This window comes from Homo sapiens, chromosome 6 (assembly GCF_000001405.40).
Source record: "Homo sapiens chromosome 6, GRCh38.p14 Primary Assembly".
Lineage (NCBI taxonomy): Eukaryota > Metazoa > Chordata > Mammalia > Primates > Hominidae > Homo > Homo sapiens.
In genome coordinates this window covers 149704576-149722871 of record NC_000006.12, presented here as the reverse complement: position 1 = coordinate 149722871, position 18296 = coordinate 149704576, and the positions used below count along the sequence as shown (strand labels likewise).

General features: G+C 43.4%; 1 protein-coding gene and 1 long non-coding RNA gene across 18 annotated transcripts in view, besides 1 other annotated feature; one reads left to right on the top strand and one right to left on the bottom strand.

The window, feature by feature from the left end:
- Positions 1-3975: 3975 nt before the first annotated feature.
- Positions 3976-5251, bottom strand: LOC645967 (uncharacterized). The gene has a single exon (NR_134652.1). It is a non-coding gene; the product is annotated as an uncharacterized LOC645967 (long non-coding RNA).
- Positions 4771-18296, top strand: part of LATS1 (large tumor suppressor kinase 1) — a 59949-nt gene continuing 46423 nt past the window's right edge. For 14 of the 17 annotated variants that reach the window (XR_007059386.1, NM_001350392.2, NM_004690.4 and 11 more), the window contains exon 1: positions 4771-5023. The gene's annotated coding sequence lies outside the window, so the exon portion shown is untranslated. Of the gene's footprint in view, positions 5024-5164; positions 5269-6446; positions 6666-18296 lie in introns of those variants that run through there. The other 3 variants (XM_047419518.1, XM_047419517.1, NR_073033.2) reach the window with 2 other exon arrangements.
- Positions 4892-5281: a silencer, noted in NCBI's record as "silent region_17665". NCBI's record gives its function as "represses an Ori minimal core promoter by ATAC-STARR-seq in GM12878 lymphoblastoid cells {active_cell/tissue: GM12878}" and the evidence as "EXISTENCE:reporter gene assay evidence [ECO:0000049][PMID:35858748]".

The window sequence follows — 18296 nt, the reverse complement described above, 5'->3', positions numbered from 1 at the left end:
ACATGAATCTCTGGTATTTGGCTACAGTTACTGAAATATTTATAAAACAACCTAATTTATTGACATTTCATTCCATTTATCTTATTTCCAAGGTTATTGTGAGAAAATGTGCTGTAGTTATACTATCAAAAATTTGGCATAATTGAAAAATTCCTGGTCCTTTGTGAATAGTACTTTTATTTAATTGTATTGTGGAAACATCCTTTTAATAATCCACTCTAGACTCTTGTCCAAGAAGCATATTAAATTCAACAGTATATAGTTTATATTGAACCTTTAGTTAAGCTTATGGTGTCAATAGTATCTAGCTCAGACTAATAGAAGGTCTGGCCAGGTGCAGTGGCTCACGCCTGTAATCCCAGCACTTTGGGAGGCCAAGGGGGGTGGATCACCTGAGATCAGGTGTTCAAGACCAACATGGTGAAACCCCGTCTCTACTAAAAACACAAAAATTAGCCTGGCCTGGTGGCAGGCACCTGTAGTCCCAGCTACTCAGGAGGCTGAGGCAGGAGAATTGCTTGAACCCAGGAGGCAGAGGTTGCAGTGAGCGGAGATCGTGCCACTGCACTCCAGCCTGGCAACACAGCAAGACTCCATCTCAAAAAAAGAAAAAATGGGGCTGGGCACGGTGGCTCACACCTGTAATTCCAGCACTTTGGGAGGCGGAGGCAGGCGGATCACCTGGGGTGGGAAGTTCGAGACCAGCCTGACCAACATGGTGAAACCCCATCTCTACTAAAAAAAAAAAAAAAGAAAATTAGCCAGGCATATTGGCACATGCCTGTAATCCCAGCTACTTGGGAGGCTGAGCCAGGAGGATTGCTTGAGCCTGGGAGGCAGAGGTGCAGTGAGTGAGCCGAGATTGCACCATTGCATTCTAGCCTGGGTGACACAGCATGACTCAAAACTAAATTACATTAATTTAAATTTAATTAAAGTATTTTTTAAAAAATTTGTAGCTGCAAAAAATCAGAAGAGTTTTTACCCCTCTATAGGGGTAGAATAAACTAAAAAATCTTAGCCAGAGAAGTCTTAGAATCCATGATACACCAGTAGCAAGGCATACACCTAGCACCCAGATTTGGTTTCTTATACCATATTCCAATAAAAGGAACCAGGGATCCTTGGAGGAATGGTGATCCCTGAACCGGGGCAAGAAATATACAAGATATCTTGGAGAACTGGGCGCGGCAGCTCAAGCTTGTAATCCCGCACTTTGGGAGGCCAAGGCGGGCGGATCGCTTGAGCTCAGGAGTTCAAGGCCAGCCTGGGTGACATAGGGAGACCTGGTCTCGACAAAAAATACAAAAATTAGGCGTGCCAGGCGCGGTGGCTCACGCCTGTAATGCCAGCACTTTGGGAGGCCGAGATGGGCAGATCATCTGAGGTCGGGAGTTCAAGACCAGCTTGACCAACATGGAGAAACCCCTTCTCTACTAAAAATACAAAATTAGCCAGGCATGGTGGCGCATGCCTGTAATCCCAGCTTCTCAGGGAGGCTGAGGCAGAAGAATTGCTTGAACCCAGCAGGCGGAGGTTGCGGTGAGCAGAGATGGCGCCACTGTACTCCAGCCTGGGCAACAAGAGAAACTTGGTCTCAAAAAAAAAAAAAGTTGGACATGGTGGCCTGCGCCTGTAATCCCAAGTTACTTGGATGCTGAGGCATCACCTGAGTCCCGGGGGTTGAGGCTGCAGTGAGCCATAATCATGTCACTGCACTTCAACCAGGGTGACACAGTGAGACCCCATCTAAAAAAAAAAAAAAAAAAAAAAAAAAAGATTTTGGAACATAATGTACTGCCAGAAAAGAAGAAAGTTCTTTTTTTTTTTTTTTTTTTTTTTTTTAGGTGAGGTCTTGCTTTGTCACCCAGGCTGGAGTGCAGTGGCTAGATCTCGGCTCACTGCAGCCTCAGCCTCCTGAGCTCAGGCGATCCTTCTGCCTCAGCCTCCTGAGTAGCTGGGACTACAGTTGTGTACCACCACACCTGGCTGATTTATAGAGATGAGGTCTTGCTATGTTACCCAGGCTGGTCTTGAACTCTTGGGCCCAAGTGATCCTCCTGCCTCAGCCTCCAGAAGTACTGGGATTAAAAAGTGCTGGGATTAAAGGGGTGAGCCACCAAACTGGGCAGAAAGTTCTTTAAAACACACACACACACACACACACACACACACACACACGCCAACTGAAAGAGCTCCAGTGGCCAAAACTGAAACAACTTGAGCAACAAAATAAATACCCAAAGCATAAAATAAATATCCATGAGGCCATACTGACATAACGAGTTTTTGTTTTGTTTATGTTTTTGCTTTTTGTTTTTTTTGTAAGACAGTCTTGCTCTGTCACCCAGACTAGAGTGCAGTAGCACAGTCTCGGCTCACTGCAACCTCCACCTCCTGAGTTCAAGCGATTCTCCTGCCTCAGCCTCCCAAGTAGCTGGGACTATAGGCATGCGCCCACCACGCCCAGCCAATTTTTTTTATTTTTAGTAGAGACGAGGTTTCACCATGTTGGCCAGACTGGTCTGGAACTCCTGACCTCAAGTGATCCGCCTGCCTCGGCCTCCCAAAGTGCTAGGATTATAGGTGTGAGCCACCACACCCGGCCAATAAATGTTTGAATAAATAAAGGAGAAGGGATAAATCTGCAGAATGTCAAATAATTTATTTGAATTCTCCACTTTATTTATTTTATTTATTTATTTTTTGGGGACAGAGTCTGGCTGGATTCTCCACTTTCAAGAAGATGGAGCACAACTCCCCATTCCTTAAGAGTGGGTGGCACATAGTCTGGTGTCTTCCCCTAAGATCGTATGAATTTCTGGAAGGGTTTATGTTCTCAGGGCCACACTGGTCTCCAGACTTCTTCCATGTACACTGCCCCCTAATTCCTTTCTAAGGTCACACAAGCATGAAATCGGATTCTACATCTATTGCTAAAAACAAGCCCCATTTCCATGAAGCACTGAAGAATTGAGTAGGCTGAAACTGGACCAAGATCTTCCATCACAATAATATAAAAACCTGCAAATGTGATGGCAGGTATCACCATTCCCACACATCCAGCACCCACAGTAAGTATTTCCCCAACCATCATCACTCTCCGCACCTACAGTCCCCAATGCTTTGCATCTCGTCAGTTCTCTTCCTGATCATTCCACCTCTGCTTTCCCTGCTCTTTTATCTCTCGCCCTACTTCACAGGAGTAAGCCTCCTAGTCCTACACAGAGCAATTTACTCAGCTCCCTGAATTATCTAGGAATTTCCCCAAAGACTAGAGTTTGTGGAGATACTTTCCTTTAGGTTTAGAGAGCATTGAGGAGCTTAAGTACCATGGGTTGATGACAGACGTGACAGGATTCTGGGGGCAGTCTGCCCTTCCAGATGCATAATCCTTTTGGATAGGGCAAGCAGACCTGTGGACATATTAGATTCCTATAATTCATATAATTTTAGGGCTGAAAAGGTCTTTATGGGGCACCCTTACGTTGAAGAAAGTAAGCCCTGGGGCTCTTTAGTGACCCACCTTGGGTCACATTGCCTTCTACAAACTCTGTGCTTGTAGAAAATAGACTTTCAACCAAATGTTCTTGGAACATAATCTTTTTTTTTTTTTTTTTTTTTTTGAGACGGAGTCTCGCTCTGTCGTCCAGGCTGGAGTGCGGTGGCGCGATCTCGGCTCAATGCAAGCTCCGCCTCCCGGGTTCCTGCCATTCTCCTGCCTCAGCCTCCCGAGTAGCTAGGACTACAGGCGCCCGCCACCACGCCGGGCAAATTTTTCTGGATTTTTTAGCAGAGACGGGGTTTCACCGTGTTAGGCAGGATGTTCTCGATCTCCTGACCTCGTGATCCGCCCGCCTCGGCCTCCCAAAGTGCTGGGATTACAGGCGTGAGACACCGCGCCCGTCCGGAACATAATCTTTTAACGGGTTTTCACATTTGGATTTCTAGATACAGTAAGTAGCCAGTTATTACTTTAACGTCAGAAAAAGATGTCTTTAATTTTTTTGTACTCTGTAGTAGAAAAATTACGAAAGAAGGTACTTGAAAACACTAACTGTATATTTCCTAGAGGAAAAACTGGCAAAGGCGATCTTCACAAAGGGTGGACCGTACCTTATACATCAAACCCAACGATCCCATCCCACACTTTACATTCAGCTTAACCAGAAGTAAAACCTCTTGTCACACCGTCACCGGTATTCCAATTATGGCAATAACGATCTCCTTCTACGGATGCGGTTGACAGATAAGATCTCTAAACCGCTGCTAATCAATCGGTCCTGGCTCAAGCATTTCTTATCTGCCGGATTCAGAAAATACAGATGCTGGAAGCTCACCGGCTTGTTCGGGGAAAGAACGCTAAGCAAGAATAAAATTTTATTTCAAAGCGCCAAAAATCTGGAATTCTGAGGTCCACAGGGAGGTTTCCCAGAGCAACTCAGTTGTTCCCTTCTGAGAACGTAGCTCCGTGAAATGCACATCCCTACTCGGTCCAGAGAAATAGATCAATGGGGAAAAGGATTGAATCAACCAAGTAGGCTGGGCGGGAGACAGCCTTAACCCACGGGCGCGGGCGAGTCGTATGGGCAGGGGCAGGCGGGAGCGACGTGGGGCGACGCTCACGAACGATCAGAGCTGCGGGCGACGCAACGAAGCCCGGAGGCCGCAGGCTGCGCGCTCCCTCGCAGCAGCCGGGCGGGCAAAAGCCCCCAGTCCTCGGCCCCCGCGCAAGCGACGCCGGGAAATGCCCACATCCGGGAAACCTGCAGCGGAGTGCGGCGGCGGCGACACTGAGTGGAAGGCAAAATGGCGGCGGCGGCGGCGGTGGCCTGGTGTTAAGGGGAGAGCCAGGTCCTCACGACCCCTGGGACGGGCCGCGCTGGCCCGCGGCAGCCCCCCCGTTCGTCTCCCCGCTCTGCCCCACCAGGGATACTTGGGGTTGCTGGGACGGACTCTGGCCGCCTCAGCGTCCGCCCTCAGGCCCGTGGCCGCTGTCCAGGAGCTCTGCTCTCCCCTCCAGGTAGGTCCGGGGCTGGCGTAGCGGGTGCGCTCCTCCAGTGCTCGAGTTGGCGGGGCGGTGGCCGCCGGGGCCCACGCCCATCCCCGCTGGCGAGGGTCCAGAGGTTTGGACTGGCGGGCAGAGCCGGCCCGCTCCGGGCCTGACTTGGCTGGTTGCATTGACCCGAGCTGAGCCCTGCCCTGGGGAAGCGAGGGTTGGCCGCGCCCGGTGCTGCAGGAAGAGCCCCAGGCTTTTCGGCCTCGGAGGTGCAGGTTTGGCTGGGTAGAGCCTGTCTTTCTGGCGGCGTGTCTCCCACCCCACCCCCAACACGCGAGTCGGCGGTGTCCAGGAGGGAAGGAACGGGAAAGGTGGTTCTGAAGGAAAATTGCAGTAAAAGAGCTACAGTTCTTTGGATCCCAGAGGGCCTTGATCCTGGGTATACCTTAGAGAAATCCTGGGAGTCTCTTACGTCTAGTTCAGTGTGATTTTAGGTTACTGTTCATAGTTGGAAGAGGTGGGAGAGATGGAGAGGTCTTTATGGAGTAGGAGTGTGTATATAAATACAGCAAATGAAGGAACGACAATTAAGGGAACAGTGTTTTTTATAACCTGAAATAGCTTGTAGCTCAATGAATGCCTCAGATGACTTGATTTATCCCCATTCTGACTTCTCTGTCAATTTCTAAGGGAACAAAATTTAATGTTTGTCAACTCATATGTTAATACGGCTTTTAAAACATGTATCATCCTCCAGAAGTTATTCATAAATCTAGTGAACAATAAGTATAATCTCATGCACAGAAGTAATATTGTATAACTCCAGTTTTGGAAATGGATTTGAATGTTAGCGATCATGAAACTTGTTTGAACTTTATGAATTATTTATTGAAGGTTAATAAATTTATCAGTTTATCAGTTTATCAGAAGTTTCTGATAAACTTAATTTTTTATCAAATTTCCTCCATGAGGAAGAAAAGGTAGGACATTATAATTGGAGTGAATGTTCTGTGCTACGAAAACAAAGCTTATTATCTCTGACGGTAAAATGGGGTAGTTGATTCCTTAAGGCAGTGGAGGAATTTGATTGAACAGTAAAAGAAGTAGCATTGTGTTAGTCCAATTGGCTGCTACTGCAAGAAACTAGATCATGGTCCATGCTTGGAATGGCACATTCTATGCCTAAATATTGATGGAATATGCCTTGCTGCTCACCAAAAAATACTTCTACTACATTTTTAATGTATAATATCTGGCTTTCATTGTGTAGGTCGTTTTTATTTTTGTTTTGTTTTTATTGCAAGTCCTTGTTCTATATAAATAGTGTTGGAACTGTTCTAACCCTGGTTATTTGGTTATTTTAGATGTTTTATTTACATCAATGGGAGATTGTTATACATCACAAAAGTTATTTAGTCATTGAATAACATTTTCGCTAAGTAGGAACAGCAATCATTTTTCAGCATGAAGATACAGCGTTGCTTTCACTTTTGATCTGACAATTATTAGAAAGTGAACTGAAGAAAATGTCAGTATGCAGTTTCCTTTAAAGATGGGAACTCGCTATGTTGCCTGCGCTGGATTCCAACTCCTGGACTCGAGCAATCCTCCCACCACAGCCTCTCAAGTAGCTGGGACTACAGGTGCACTACTGCACCCAGCCAGGGTACCTTTCTGATAAACTTAATTCAACCCAAATTAACACTTTGAAATCTTATGTAATGGTATCATTTTTTTTTTCCTAAGTTGGACAAACTAATCAATGATACTTGTTTGTTGATGTTTGTATTTTTGATGAGGGTCTGAACTTTAAAAAAAAAAAAATGGCGATCTGTCATACCCAGGCAGTTTGATTCCAGAGCTCTTACTTTAACCATGAGATTAAAGTCATTGAAAGTTATGGGGTAGGTAGGTGACATGATCAGAATTGTTTATTAAGACGAATCTGGCCCCATCGTAGTGTGGGTTAAAAAGGTAAGCAGTTTTGCTTTGAAGAATTATTTTAAAAATTCTTTTTGCCTAGTAATAATTTGAATTTTCACATGTCATAGCAGCAAAGATTGTTGAGATTTAGTAATGCCAGTATTAACCATACCTTGTTGTGGGGATTATAAAATTAGTATAACTTTCTAGAAGGCATTCTGACAATAAGTATCAGAATTTTAAATATGTATTCTCTTTGATCCAGCAATTCCACTTCTGGGAATTTATTTTAAGAAAAATGCTCAGCAATGTGTGCACAAGAATTTTTATTGCAGCAATTTTTTTATTAACTAATTTCGTTATGTGCAAGGAATATGCTATATGTATATTATACATATGTTCATTTTATTAAACTATGAGGCATAATAAAATGAACATCCATGAACTTACCACCTGAACTCAGAACAAGAATATTACCAGTATAATTGAAGTTACCAGTTTGCAGTATTATTTTACATTAGCAAAAAAATGAGGAACAACCTAAATGTCCATCAGTCAGGGATTTATAAGTAATAGTACATCTAGCCGGGCGCAGTGGCTCACGCCTGTAACCAGCACTTTGGGAGGCCAAGGAGGGCGGATTACCTGAGGTCTGGAGTTCGAGACCAGCCTGGCCAACATGGTGAAACCCCATCTCTACTAAAAATACAAAAATTAGCTCGGTGTGGTAGCGCGGGTCTGTAGTCCCAGCTACTTGTAAGGCTGAGGCAGGAGAATCACTTGAACCCGAGAGACGGAGGTTGCAGTGAGCTGAGATGGCACCACGGCACTCCAGCCTGCGACAGTGAGACTCTGTCTCAAAAATAAATAAAGAAATAAAGAAATAATAAATAAATAAATAAAAAATAGTACATCTACATGATGAAATTCAATATCGGTATTTAAAGGAATAAGGTTGAACTATCATACTTTATCAATTCTGAAATACCACTAAATCTAAGATAAGCCATCTATTTAGTAGCAATTTTTTAGCAGGAAGAAAGTAAACATAAAGCTTTTATTAATAATAGCATACATTTATTCATTCAATTGTATACCATTTTCGTCTGTCACAATAAAGTTTGAGTCTCAGCCTTATTCACATTCAGAATCTAGGATCCTTCTGAATTACTTCGGTTAGTTAATGCAACATCATGATAACAGGCTGCTTTTCATAATGCTAGTTAATTATCTTAACCTATATTGTCTTTATGATTGTGTGTATAATTTTAAGGTATATTGAAGAATACTGGGGTTTTGCTTGCCTTTCATTTTTGCTTACTTAGTTTTTTTTTCTTCTTCTTAATTGAATTACCTATTGCTGGAAATTAAACAGCTTCTTCTGAAGATAACTCCAAAAGTTTTGGCAGACTTTTGAGTCTGTCTTACCTTTGAAAATTCTGTGATCTTGCTTGAATTTAATAATTACTTATGCCTTTAATTGCATTGTCTATTGAATGACAGTTTGAGTGCACAATACTATGTCACAATGGAATCTTTCAGAACATTTTGTGGACCAGGCATGGTATCATCCCAGTATTTTGGGAGGCTGAGGCAGGAGGAACACTTGAATTCAGGAGTTTGAGACCAGCCTGGGCAACCTAGCAAGATCTCCATCTGTATTTACAAAAATAATAATAGCTGGGCGTGGTAGCTCATGCTTGTAATCCCAGCACTTTGGGAGGCTGAGGTGTGTGGATCACATGAGGTCAGGAGTTCAAGACCAACCTGGCCAACGTGGCAAACCCCTGTCTCTACTAAAAATACAAAAATTAGCCAGGTGTGGTGGTGGGTACCTGTAGTCCCAGCTACTCCGGAGGCTGAGGCATGAGAATCACTTGAACTTGGAAAGCAGAGGTTGCAGTGAGCCAGAATACGACACTGCACTCCAGCCTGAGTGAGACAGTCTCACAAAAAAAAAAAAGTAATAATGATAAAAGAAAAAAAGAGGCCGTGCGCAGTGGTTCATGCCTATATAATCCCAGCACTTCGGGAGGCCGAGGCAGGTGGATCACCTGAGGTTAGGAGTTCAAGACCACCCTGGCCAACATGGTGAAACCCCATCTCTACTAAAAATACAAAAATTAGCCACACATGGTGGCACATGCCTGTAATTCCAGCTACTTGGGAGGCTGAGGCAGGAGAATTGCTTGAACCCGGGAGGCAGAGGTTGCAGTCAGCTGAGATCACGCCATTGCACTCCAACCTGGGCAACAAGAGAGAAACTCCTTCTCAAAAAAACAAAAACAAAACAGAAAAAAAGAAAAAACATTTTGAGCATCATATATGGTGCTGCCAATGAAAATATTACAATTGTCCGGGTATGGTGGCTCACACCTGTAATCGCAGCACTTTGAGAGGCCAAGGCGGGTGGATCACCCGAGGTCAGGCATTCGAGACCAGCCTAGGCAACATGGAGAAACCCCGTCTCTACTAAAAATACAAAAAATTAGCCGGGTGTGGTGGTGGGCTCCTGTAATCCCAGCTACTTGGGAGGCTGAGGCAGAAGAATTGCTTGAACCCGGGAGGCAGAGGTTGCAGTGAGCCGAGATGGCACCATTGCACTCCAGCCTGGGCAACAGAGGGAGACTCTGTCTCAAAAAAAAAAAAAGAAAATAATACAATTGAGGTAACAGAGATTTCGACTTTTATGTATGGTTAAGTTAGGCATGTGCAATGACTGCTACTCTAGAACTTCTCTGCTTTGGAGGGGAGATTGGACCTTGATTTATTTGGAAGGAACTCTCATCCATTGTTTTCATTATCATACTCGGCCACCTGTGAAGTGTGTGTTGGGTGAGTATTCTCTCTTTGGAAGGTACACATCTTTCTCAGCTAGCTTATTGCTCATAGAAGTTGGGGGCCCAAGGGTTGATCTTAAGATATACTCAATTTATTTATTTATTTATTTTTTCTGGGACAGAGTTTTGCTCTGATGCCCGGGCTGGAGTGTAGTGGCACAATCACAGCTCACTGCAGCCTCGACCTCCTGGGCTCAATTGATCCACCCACCTCAGTCTCTCCAGTAGCTGGGACTGCAGGTGCACACCAACATAATTGGCTGATTTTTTCTATTTTTTGTAGAGTTAGGGTCTCACTTTGTTTCCCAGGCTAGTCTCAAACACCTGGGCTCAAGAGATCCGCCCACCTCAGCCTCCAAAAGTTTTGGAATTACAGGCATGAGCCACTGCACCCGGCCCTAACTTTTAGAAATATTAAAATGTAGAAAAGCATGCTTAGAATCAAACAAACATGATACTGGCCGGGCATGGTGGCTCACACCTGTAATCCCAGCACTTTGGGAGGCTAAGGTGGGAGGATCGCTTGAGGCCAGGAGTTTGAGACCAGCCTCGTCAACATAGCGAGACCCTCATCTCTATTCAAAAAGAAAAGAGAGAATAGAAGATAAAATATGGCTGGGCGCAGTGGCTCACACCTGTAATCCCAGCACTTTGGGAGGCCAAGGTGGGCGGTCACCTGAGGTCGGGAGTTCGAGACCAGCCTGACCAACATGGAGAAACTCCGTCTCTACTAAAAATAGAAAATTAACCGGGTGTGGTGGCACATGGCCTGTAATCCCAGCTGCTTGGGAGGCTGAGGCAGGAGAATTGCTTGAACCCGGGAGGTGGAGGTTGCGGTGAGCCAAGATCGCGCCATTGCACTCCAGCCTGGGCAACGAGCGAAACTCCATCTATAAATAAATAAATAAATAAATAAAAGAAACATGACACCTAACTGTGGAAAGATGTTCACGGTATTATGTTATTCTTTTGCTAAGAAATTGGGCCCTGATTAGTGACAGAGGCAAGATTCATGGGTCCTATTATCCACATGCCCAATAATCTCTTAATCAGGTCCAGATATGGTTCCTCTTGGTCCAGGGACCTGTGAAGTAATGTGTCCTGTGTGCTGCGTGTGTGCGCACTCTCTCTCTCTCTGTCACTCACTGTGTCTCCTCTCTATCTCCCTTCCTTTTCTTTTCCCCTTACTCACTCACCGCAGTACACAAGGGCCACAGTAAGCGCTCTTCCTAGAAAAAGAGAATAATGGGAGATAAGCAGCAAATGCTGATCTATAATCTGAAATCTCCTAGGCAGATTCTGTGTAAGCAACCGGGCCTGGAGGTAGGGGAGATTGGACCCTGATTTATTTGGAAGGAACTCTCCCATCCATTGTTTTAATGATCATCCTTGACCACCTGTGAAGTGTGTGTTGTACCTTCCCTTTGGAACGTACAAATCTTTTTCAACTAGCTTCTTGCTCATAGAAGTCGGGGACCCAAGGGTTTTAAATTTTGAATAGACAAGAAGATTTTTTTAGTATGAACTTGAGATGATTTAAGAAAAAAAAATTTCATTTTGTTTTTTGAGATGGAGTCTCACCCTGTCACCCAGGCTAGAGTGCAGTGGCACAATCTCCGCTCACTGCAACCTCCGCCTCCCAGGTTCAAGCAATTCTTCTGCCTCAGCCTCCTGAGTAGCTGGGACTACAGGCACATGCCACCACGCCCAGCTAATTTTTGTATTTTTTAGTAGAGATGAGGTTTCACCTTATTGGCCAGGCTGGTCTCAAACTCCTGACCTCGTGATCCGCCTGTCTCGGCCTCCCAAAGTGCTGGAATTACAGGTGTGAGGCACCGTGCCCGGCCAAAAGATATTTTTTTTTTTTTTAACAAAACAGTTTCTTTAAAGTTAGTAAGCCTCTTCCGATCTGTTTGGTTTCCTTCAGTTCTATGTGTCAGTAACCACAGTCGAAGTTCACATGTATTGGTAAACTCATCCAAAGATTTAAGAGCGTCTATTCCTCCTCCTCTCATTTGGTTGTTTGAGGCTATTAGGTTTGATGGGAAGGCTACGTCTTTAATATGGTCTTAACCACAGAAGCACTAGTTAGCTAAGGGGTTTCAGTGGGCATCTGTGCTCAGTCTTTTAATCCTGCCTCTAGGGGTCTAGGTACAAGCTGCTTTTCCAATCCTTCAAGGCTTTAAATTTCTGAACTTTTTCTATTCTCTTCTGTTTTTGCTTTCAAATCTACTACTTCCTTCTTGAACTCATCATTTACTTATAATACTTGCCAAATATCTAATAGCAGCCAATACTCACTTCCAAAATCCTCTTTACCAAACTCCTATAACACTACAAGGTCAGTAGCCTCTTTGTATGTTCACTGACCTTGTAGTTGTATGAAAAGTTATTATAGGCAACAGCGTTACCAGATATTTTGCCACTATAAAACATGATCCTCCATCTTTCCAGCCTCCGGTATCTGTTTCCTCTCAGCCCTTAATCTGACCACTAAGGCAGTATCACTAAGGCAGGACTGCATAGGTTTTTATTGTAGCAGCACCTCACTTCCAGGTACCAGTTTTCTGTATTAGGATAATGAAACACTGAATATACAGATGGACAATGGCCAGATCATATATAAAACTAGAACTCTGACCCATGACCTATGTAGCAATAGGCCCAGTCAGGACTTGGTCAGTAATTACCAGCTTCCCTAATTTTTGTGCCTTCTTCCAATTCGGGACGACTCAGAGAAAGCCAAATATGCTTCCCAAATCAACCACATAGGATACCCCGCTTCCAGTGTCGACGAAGAGTCAAACTCTGTAAAATATTTTAAGAGATCTATTCTAAGCCAAATATGAATGGCTATTGCCCCATGACACAGCCCTCAGGAGCTCCTGAGAACATGTGCCCAAGGTGATCAGACTACAGCTTGGTTTTATACATTTTAGGGAGACATAAGACATCAATCAGTATATGTAAGATGTACATTGGTTAGGTCCAGAAAGGAAGACACCTTGAAGCAGATGGCTTCCAGGTCATAGGTAGATTCACAGATTTTCTGATTGGCAGTTGGTCGAAAGAGTTGTTACTGTCTAAAGACCTAGAATCAATAGAAGGGAGTATCTAGGTTAAGATAAGGGGTTGTGGGCAGGCACAGTGGCTCACGCCTGTAATCCCAACACCTTGGGAGGCCGAGGCAGGTGGATCACGAGGTCAGGAGTTCAAGACCAGCTTGGCCAACATAGTGAAACCCCATCTCTACTAAAAATACAAAAATTAGCGAGGCATGGTAGCGCACGCCTGTAATCCCAGCTACTCAGGAGGCTGAGGCAGGAGAATCACTTGAAACCGGGAGGCGGAGATTGTGGTGAGCCAAGATCAAGCCACTGCATTCCAACCTGGGCAACAGAGTGAGACTCCATCTAAAAAAAAAAAAAAAAAAAAAAAAAAGATAAGGGGTTGTGGAGACCAGGGTTCCCATTATGCAGATAGAATCAATAGGAAGGAATGTCTGAGCCAAGGTAAGGGGTTGTGGAGACCAAAGTTCCCATTATGTAAAGGAAGCCTCCAGGTGGCAGGCTTCAGAGATAATACATTGTAAATGTTTCTTATCAGGGTTGATTCTCTCCTGGATCAGGCAAAAGGCCTGAGAAAGGAAGGGAATTAACTTCAGAATGTAGATTTTCCGCACAAGAGACAGCTTTGCAGGACTGTTTGAAGATATGGCAAAGAAACATAATTTGGGGTCAAATACTTGGATTTCTTTCAGGGCCTGCCATCTGTCATGTGATACTATGCTAGAGTCAGGCTGGAATTGGGTATCTTATTGCTACAGAGAGTCTGTTTTGTCAGTCTTAAGATTTGTTTTAATGTTAGTGCTGGTCAGCTGTGCCTGAATTCCAACAGGGAGGAGGGAATAATGAGGTATGGCCAAACTCCGCTTCCCATCATGGCTGGAACTAGTTTTTCAGGTTAACTTTCAAATGCTCTTGGCTGGGAGGAGGGGTTCATTCAGATGGTTGAAGGACTTAGAATTTTATTTTTGGTTTACATCAGTTAGCCCACCTCCAGTTTCCCATGCCAACAACCTACAATCAGAGCATACCTGATGTCTTCCCCCTTTTTTTAGTATAAAGATTTCCCACTCCCCTGCTTGCCTTTGAATCTTTGCCAAGCACAAGTTGACAGTGGCTGACTCCCTACCTATATAGTAAGATCTAATTAAATAGCCTTTGTTTGTTTCCATTTGGGCAGTCTTTGTCTATTTTCACAATGTTATTAGGCTGTTTTGTGGTAACAAATCCCCAAATATCAATGGCTTAACACAACAGAAATGTTTCTCTTGCTCAGAGTTCAGTGGGAGTCAGTAGGGTTCTCCATCCAGTGGCTTAGGGATCCACCTTCCTTCCATATTGTCAAGCCACCATCTCAGAATGTAACCTACATTGTCATTAAAGCAGGAAAACCGAAGCAAAGTGACTTTTAACTGCCTCAGTCCAGAATTGAGATATGTTACATCTGCTCATCCAGCTTTGGCCAAATCTGGGAAATGGAGTCGAGTACTGTATGTGAATATAGTCTCTGCCAGAATATATTTACCAAAAGCAATTGGCTAAAGATATACACAATTCCTCCATTTCAGCGTTTTTGAGATCAGAAGATTTAGATTATCTTACAATTGAAATTTTTTTTTTTTTTTTTTTTGAGATCCAGTCTCGCTCTGTCGCCCAGGCTGGAGTGCAGTGGTGCAGTCTCGGCTCACTGCAACCTCTGCCTCTGTGGTTCAAGCGATTCTCCTGCCTCAGCCTTCCGAGTAGCTGGGACTACAGGTGCCTGCCACCACGCTCGGCTAATTTTTGTGTTTTTAGTAGAGACGGGGTTTCACCATATTGACCAGGGTGGTCTTGTACAATTAAAATTGAAATGAATATTCAAATGTAATGCTTCTGTTATTTCCCCTGATAAATGAAGTGACATTGTTTCATGGAAATAATAGTTTCTTTAAAATGAATCCTGTGTATTTTAATTGCATGTATTTAAATAAGAATTTGTAGCAGAACCATTCTAGGATCCAGTCATTTCCTTTCCTTTTTTTTTCTTTTTTAACTCTCTATTTTGGAAAACTTCAAGAATACACAAAAGTAAAGAGAAAGGCCAAGGCAGTAGGATTGCTTGATGCCAGGAGTTCAAGACTAGCCTGGGCAACATGGTGAGCCCCTGTCTCTAAAAAATAAATAATAAGAAGAAAGAGACTAGTACAGTGAACCCTCATATACCCATTACTCAGCTACAACAGTTTTCAACAAATGAAAACTTCTGTCTCATTTATATCCCCAACCCCTTCAGCACACAACCAAATTATTTTGAAATAAATTCCAGACATTATTTATTTTATCCACAAGTATTTTCAACATGTAGATGATAGAAATATGCTTAAAATAAGTTTTCAGTTATTTAAACCTAAAACACATTGTTACACATATACCAGAACTCAGTCCTTTCTCTGACCTTTGTGCACTCAATGTTAGGAGTTACATCAGCCTATAGGACTAGAGAATGAATTTCTCTGGTCCAGCGTTTTCTAATGTATACTACATGGAATGTAAATCTCATGAAATGTTATGGGGGGAAAAGGTAAGATAAGATAAATTTGGGCAACAATACATTCTCTTCTTGTCTTGAATTCCTTGCCTCAAGTGATCCTCCCACCTGGGCCTCTGAAAGTATTGGGATTACAGGCGTAAACCCCCAGACCCCATTGTCTTCTCATAATTCCCCATGATTATGTAAAAGAATGAGATGTCCGGCCGGGCACAGTGGCTCATACCTGTAATCCCAGCACTTTGGGAGGCCAAGGCGGGCAGATCACGAGGTCAGGAGTTCGAGACCAGCCTGACCTACATGGTGAAACCCCATCTCTACTAAAAATACAAAAATTAGCCTGGCGTGGTGGTACACACCTGTGATCTCGGCTACTCAGGAGGCTGAGGCAGGAAAATTGCTTGAACCAGGGAGGCAGAGGTTGCAGTGAGCCAAGATCACCCCACTGCACTCCAGCCTGGGCAACAGAGCGAGACTCCATCTTCAAAAAAAAAAAAAAAAAAAAAGAGATGTCCAGTTTTGTGTATTATGATCCCATTTTGGTTAATAGTAGTATATGTTAGAATATTCAGTATTAATAGTGATTATTATTAGTTTCCTGTGTCTTATGTAACAAATCACTATAAACCTGGTGGCTTAAAACAACATAAATTTATCCTCTCACAGTTCTGGAGGCCAGACGTCTAAAATCAAGGCATTAGCAAGGCCAGTTTTCTTCCAGAGGCTCTAGGAGAGAAGCTGTCCCTTGCCACTTCCAGCTTCTGTTGGCTGCTGTCATCCTTGGCTTCTGACTTCATCATCACATTGCCTTCCTTTTTCTGTGTGAATCAGACCTCCTTCTGCCTCTCAAAAGGACACTTGTAATTGCATGTGGGACTTACTCTGTTAATCCATGACAATAACTTAATCTCAGAATCCTTAATCACATCTGCAGCATCCCTTTTTCCAAATAAGATAACATTTACAAGTTCCAGAGAAGATTAGGAAGGGGAATATCTTTTTTTTTTTGAGACAGGGTCTCACTGTCTCTCCTAGGCTGGAGTGCAGTGGTACAGTCATGGCTCACTGTAGCCTCTACCTCCTGGGCTCAAGTGATCCTCCCACCTCAGTCACCTGAGCAGCTGGTACCACAGTCACACACACTGCCACACTCAGCTCATTTTTTGCAGTATTTGTGGAGACGGGGTTTTGCCATGTTGCCCACCCAGGCTGGTCTTGAACTCCTGAGCTCAAGTGATCCTCCCACTTTGGCCTCCCAAAGTGTTGGGATTACAGGCATAAGCCAGGAATATCTTTTTTTTTTTTTTTTTTTTTTTTTTTTTTTTTTTTTTTTTGCGACCGGGTTTCGCTCTTGTTGCCCAGGCTGGAGTGCAATGGCACGATCTCGGCTCACCACAACCTCCACCTCCCGGGTTCAAGCGATTCTCCTGCCTTAGCCTCCCGAGTAGCTGAGATTACAGGCATGTGCCACCACACCCAGCTAATTTTGTATTTTTAGTAGAGACGGGGTTTCTCCATGTTGGTCAGGCTGGTCTCAAACTCCCGACCTCAGGTGATCCACCCGCCTTGGCCTCCCAAAGTGCTGGGATTATAGGAGTGAGCCACTGTGCCTGGCTCAGGAATATCTTTTGAGAGGCCATTATTCAGCCCGCTACAGTGATTCTCACTCTTGAGGAAGGTGAATTATGAGGGACTTCTACTTTTTCCTACTGTATATATTTATATAAATACTTGAATTTTTCAATAAGGATGCATGCTGTATTTTTTTAACAGCAGAAAGAAGGGGCAAGTTACCTGCATTTGTAAGTTCAAATATTTTTGCGCTACCTACTGGTGACCAGGTCCCATTATAGGGAAATGGAAGCAAATATTTTGACAGAAGCAAAACTATGTTTCTTTTCTTTTTTTCTTTTTTTTTTCTCTCTCTCTCTCTGTCAGAATGATCTTGGAAATGGTAAAATAACAATAATAATAAAGTGATGATTAACTTAGAGTTGAAACCCAAAGTAAGTGAGATATTGAAAGAATACCTAGATCCTATAAATGAATTGCAATCCAGATACTAAAAGAACTGACATGTAAGATTCCACAACAGTGTTAATCCTTGATCATGGAGAAATGGTAGGTTTCAGAAGACCTAATATAGAAAGTATCTTCACTTTTAGAAAGGGCCAGAGGTGAATTCTGCAAACTTTAGACTGGCGAGCTAAATGTTAAGCTTAGAAAAACTCATTAGTAAGCTATTAAATTAATATTTTGGGAAAGCTTAGAAAAGAAAATGCTTTAGGGACCAGCTTCCTTCATAAAAAGCACATGGTATGTCCATCCTAATTTCATTTACAAAATAATTATATTATTCATGTATTATTATGTTATAGATAGAATATGTGCAATTTTCAGGCAATGAAAAAGTTCATCTTTTTTTTTTTCAAAGTGGAGAAATGTGAGCTGCTTGTAATAGAGTTTGATTGATTCATAGCTAATTTAGCAATTGTGCCATGAGAGCACTGATTTATGAGGTGAAGTCATCAGGAAACTACCTCTAGTGGCTGCTACAGGGCTTCGTCATGTCTCAGGCCTGCTGCAAATTGTGTGTGTGTGTGTGTGTGTGTGTGTGTGTGTGTGTGTGTATAATTAATTTCTATAAATATAAATTTTAAAAAATTAAAAATGGGTATATTTTTAACAGCTTTATTAACATACAATTTATATACTATAAAGTTTACTCAGGCTAGGTGGGGTGGCTCATGCCTATAATCCCACCACTTTGGGAGGCTGAGGCAGGAGGCTTACCTGAGCACTTGAACCCAGGAGTTCAAGACCAGCCTGAGCAACATAGGGAGACTTTGTTTTACAAAAAATTAACAACTTAGCTGGACAGGGTGGCATGTTCCTGCATTCCCAGCTACTTGGGAGGCTTAGGCAGGAGGATGAGCACAGGA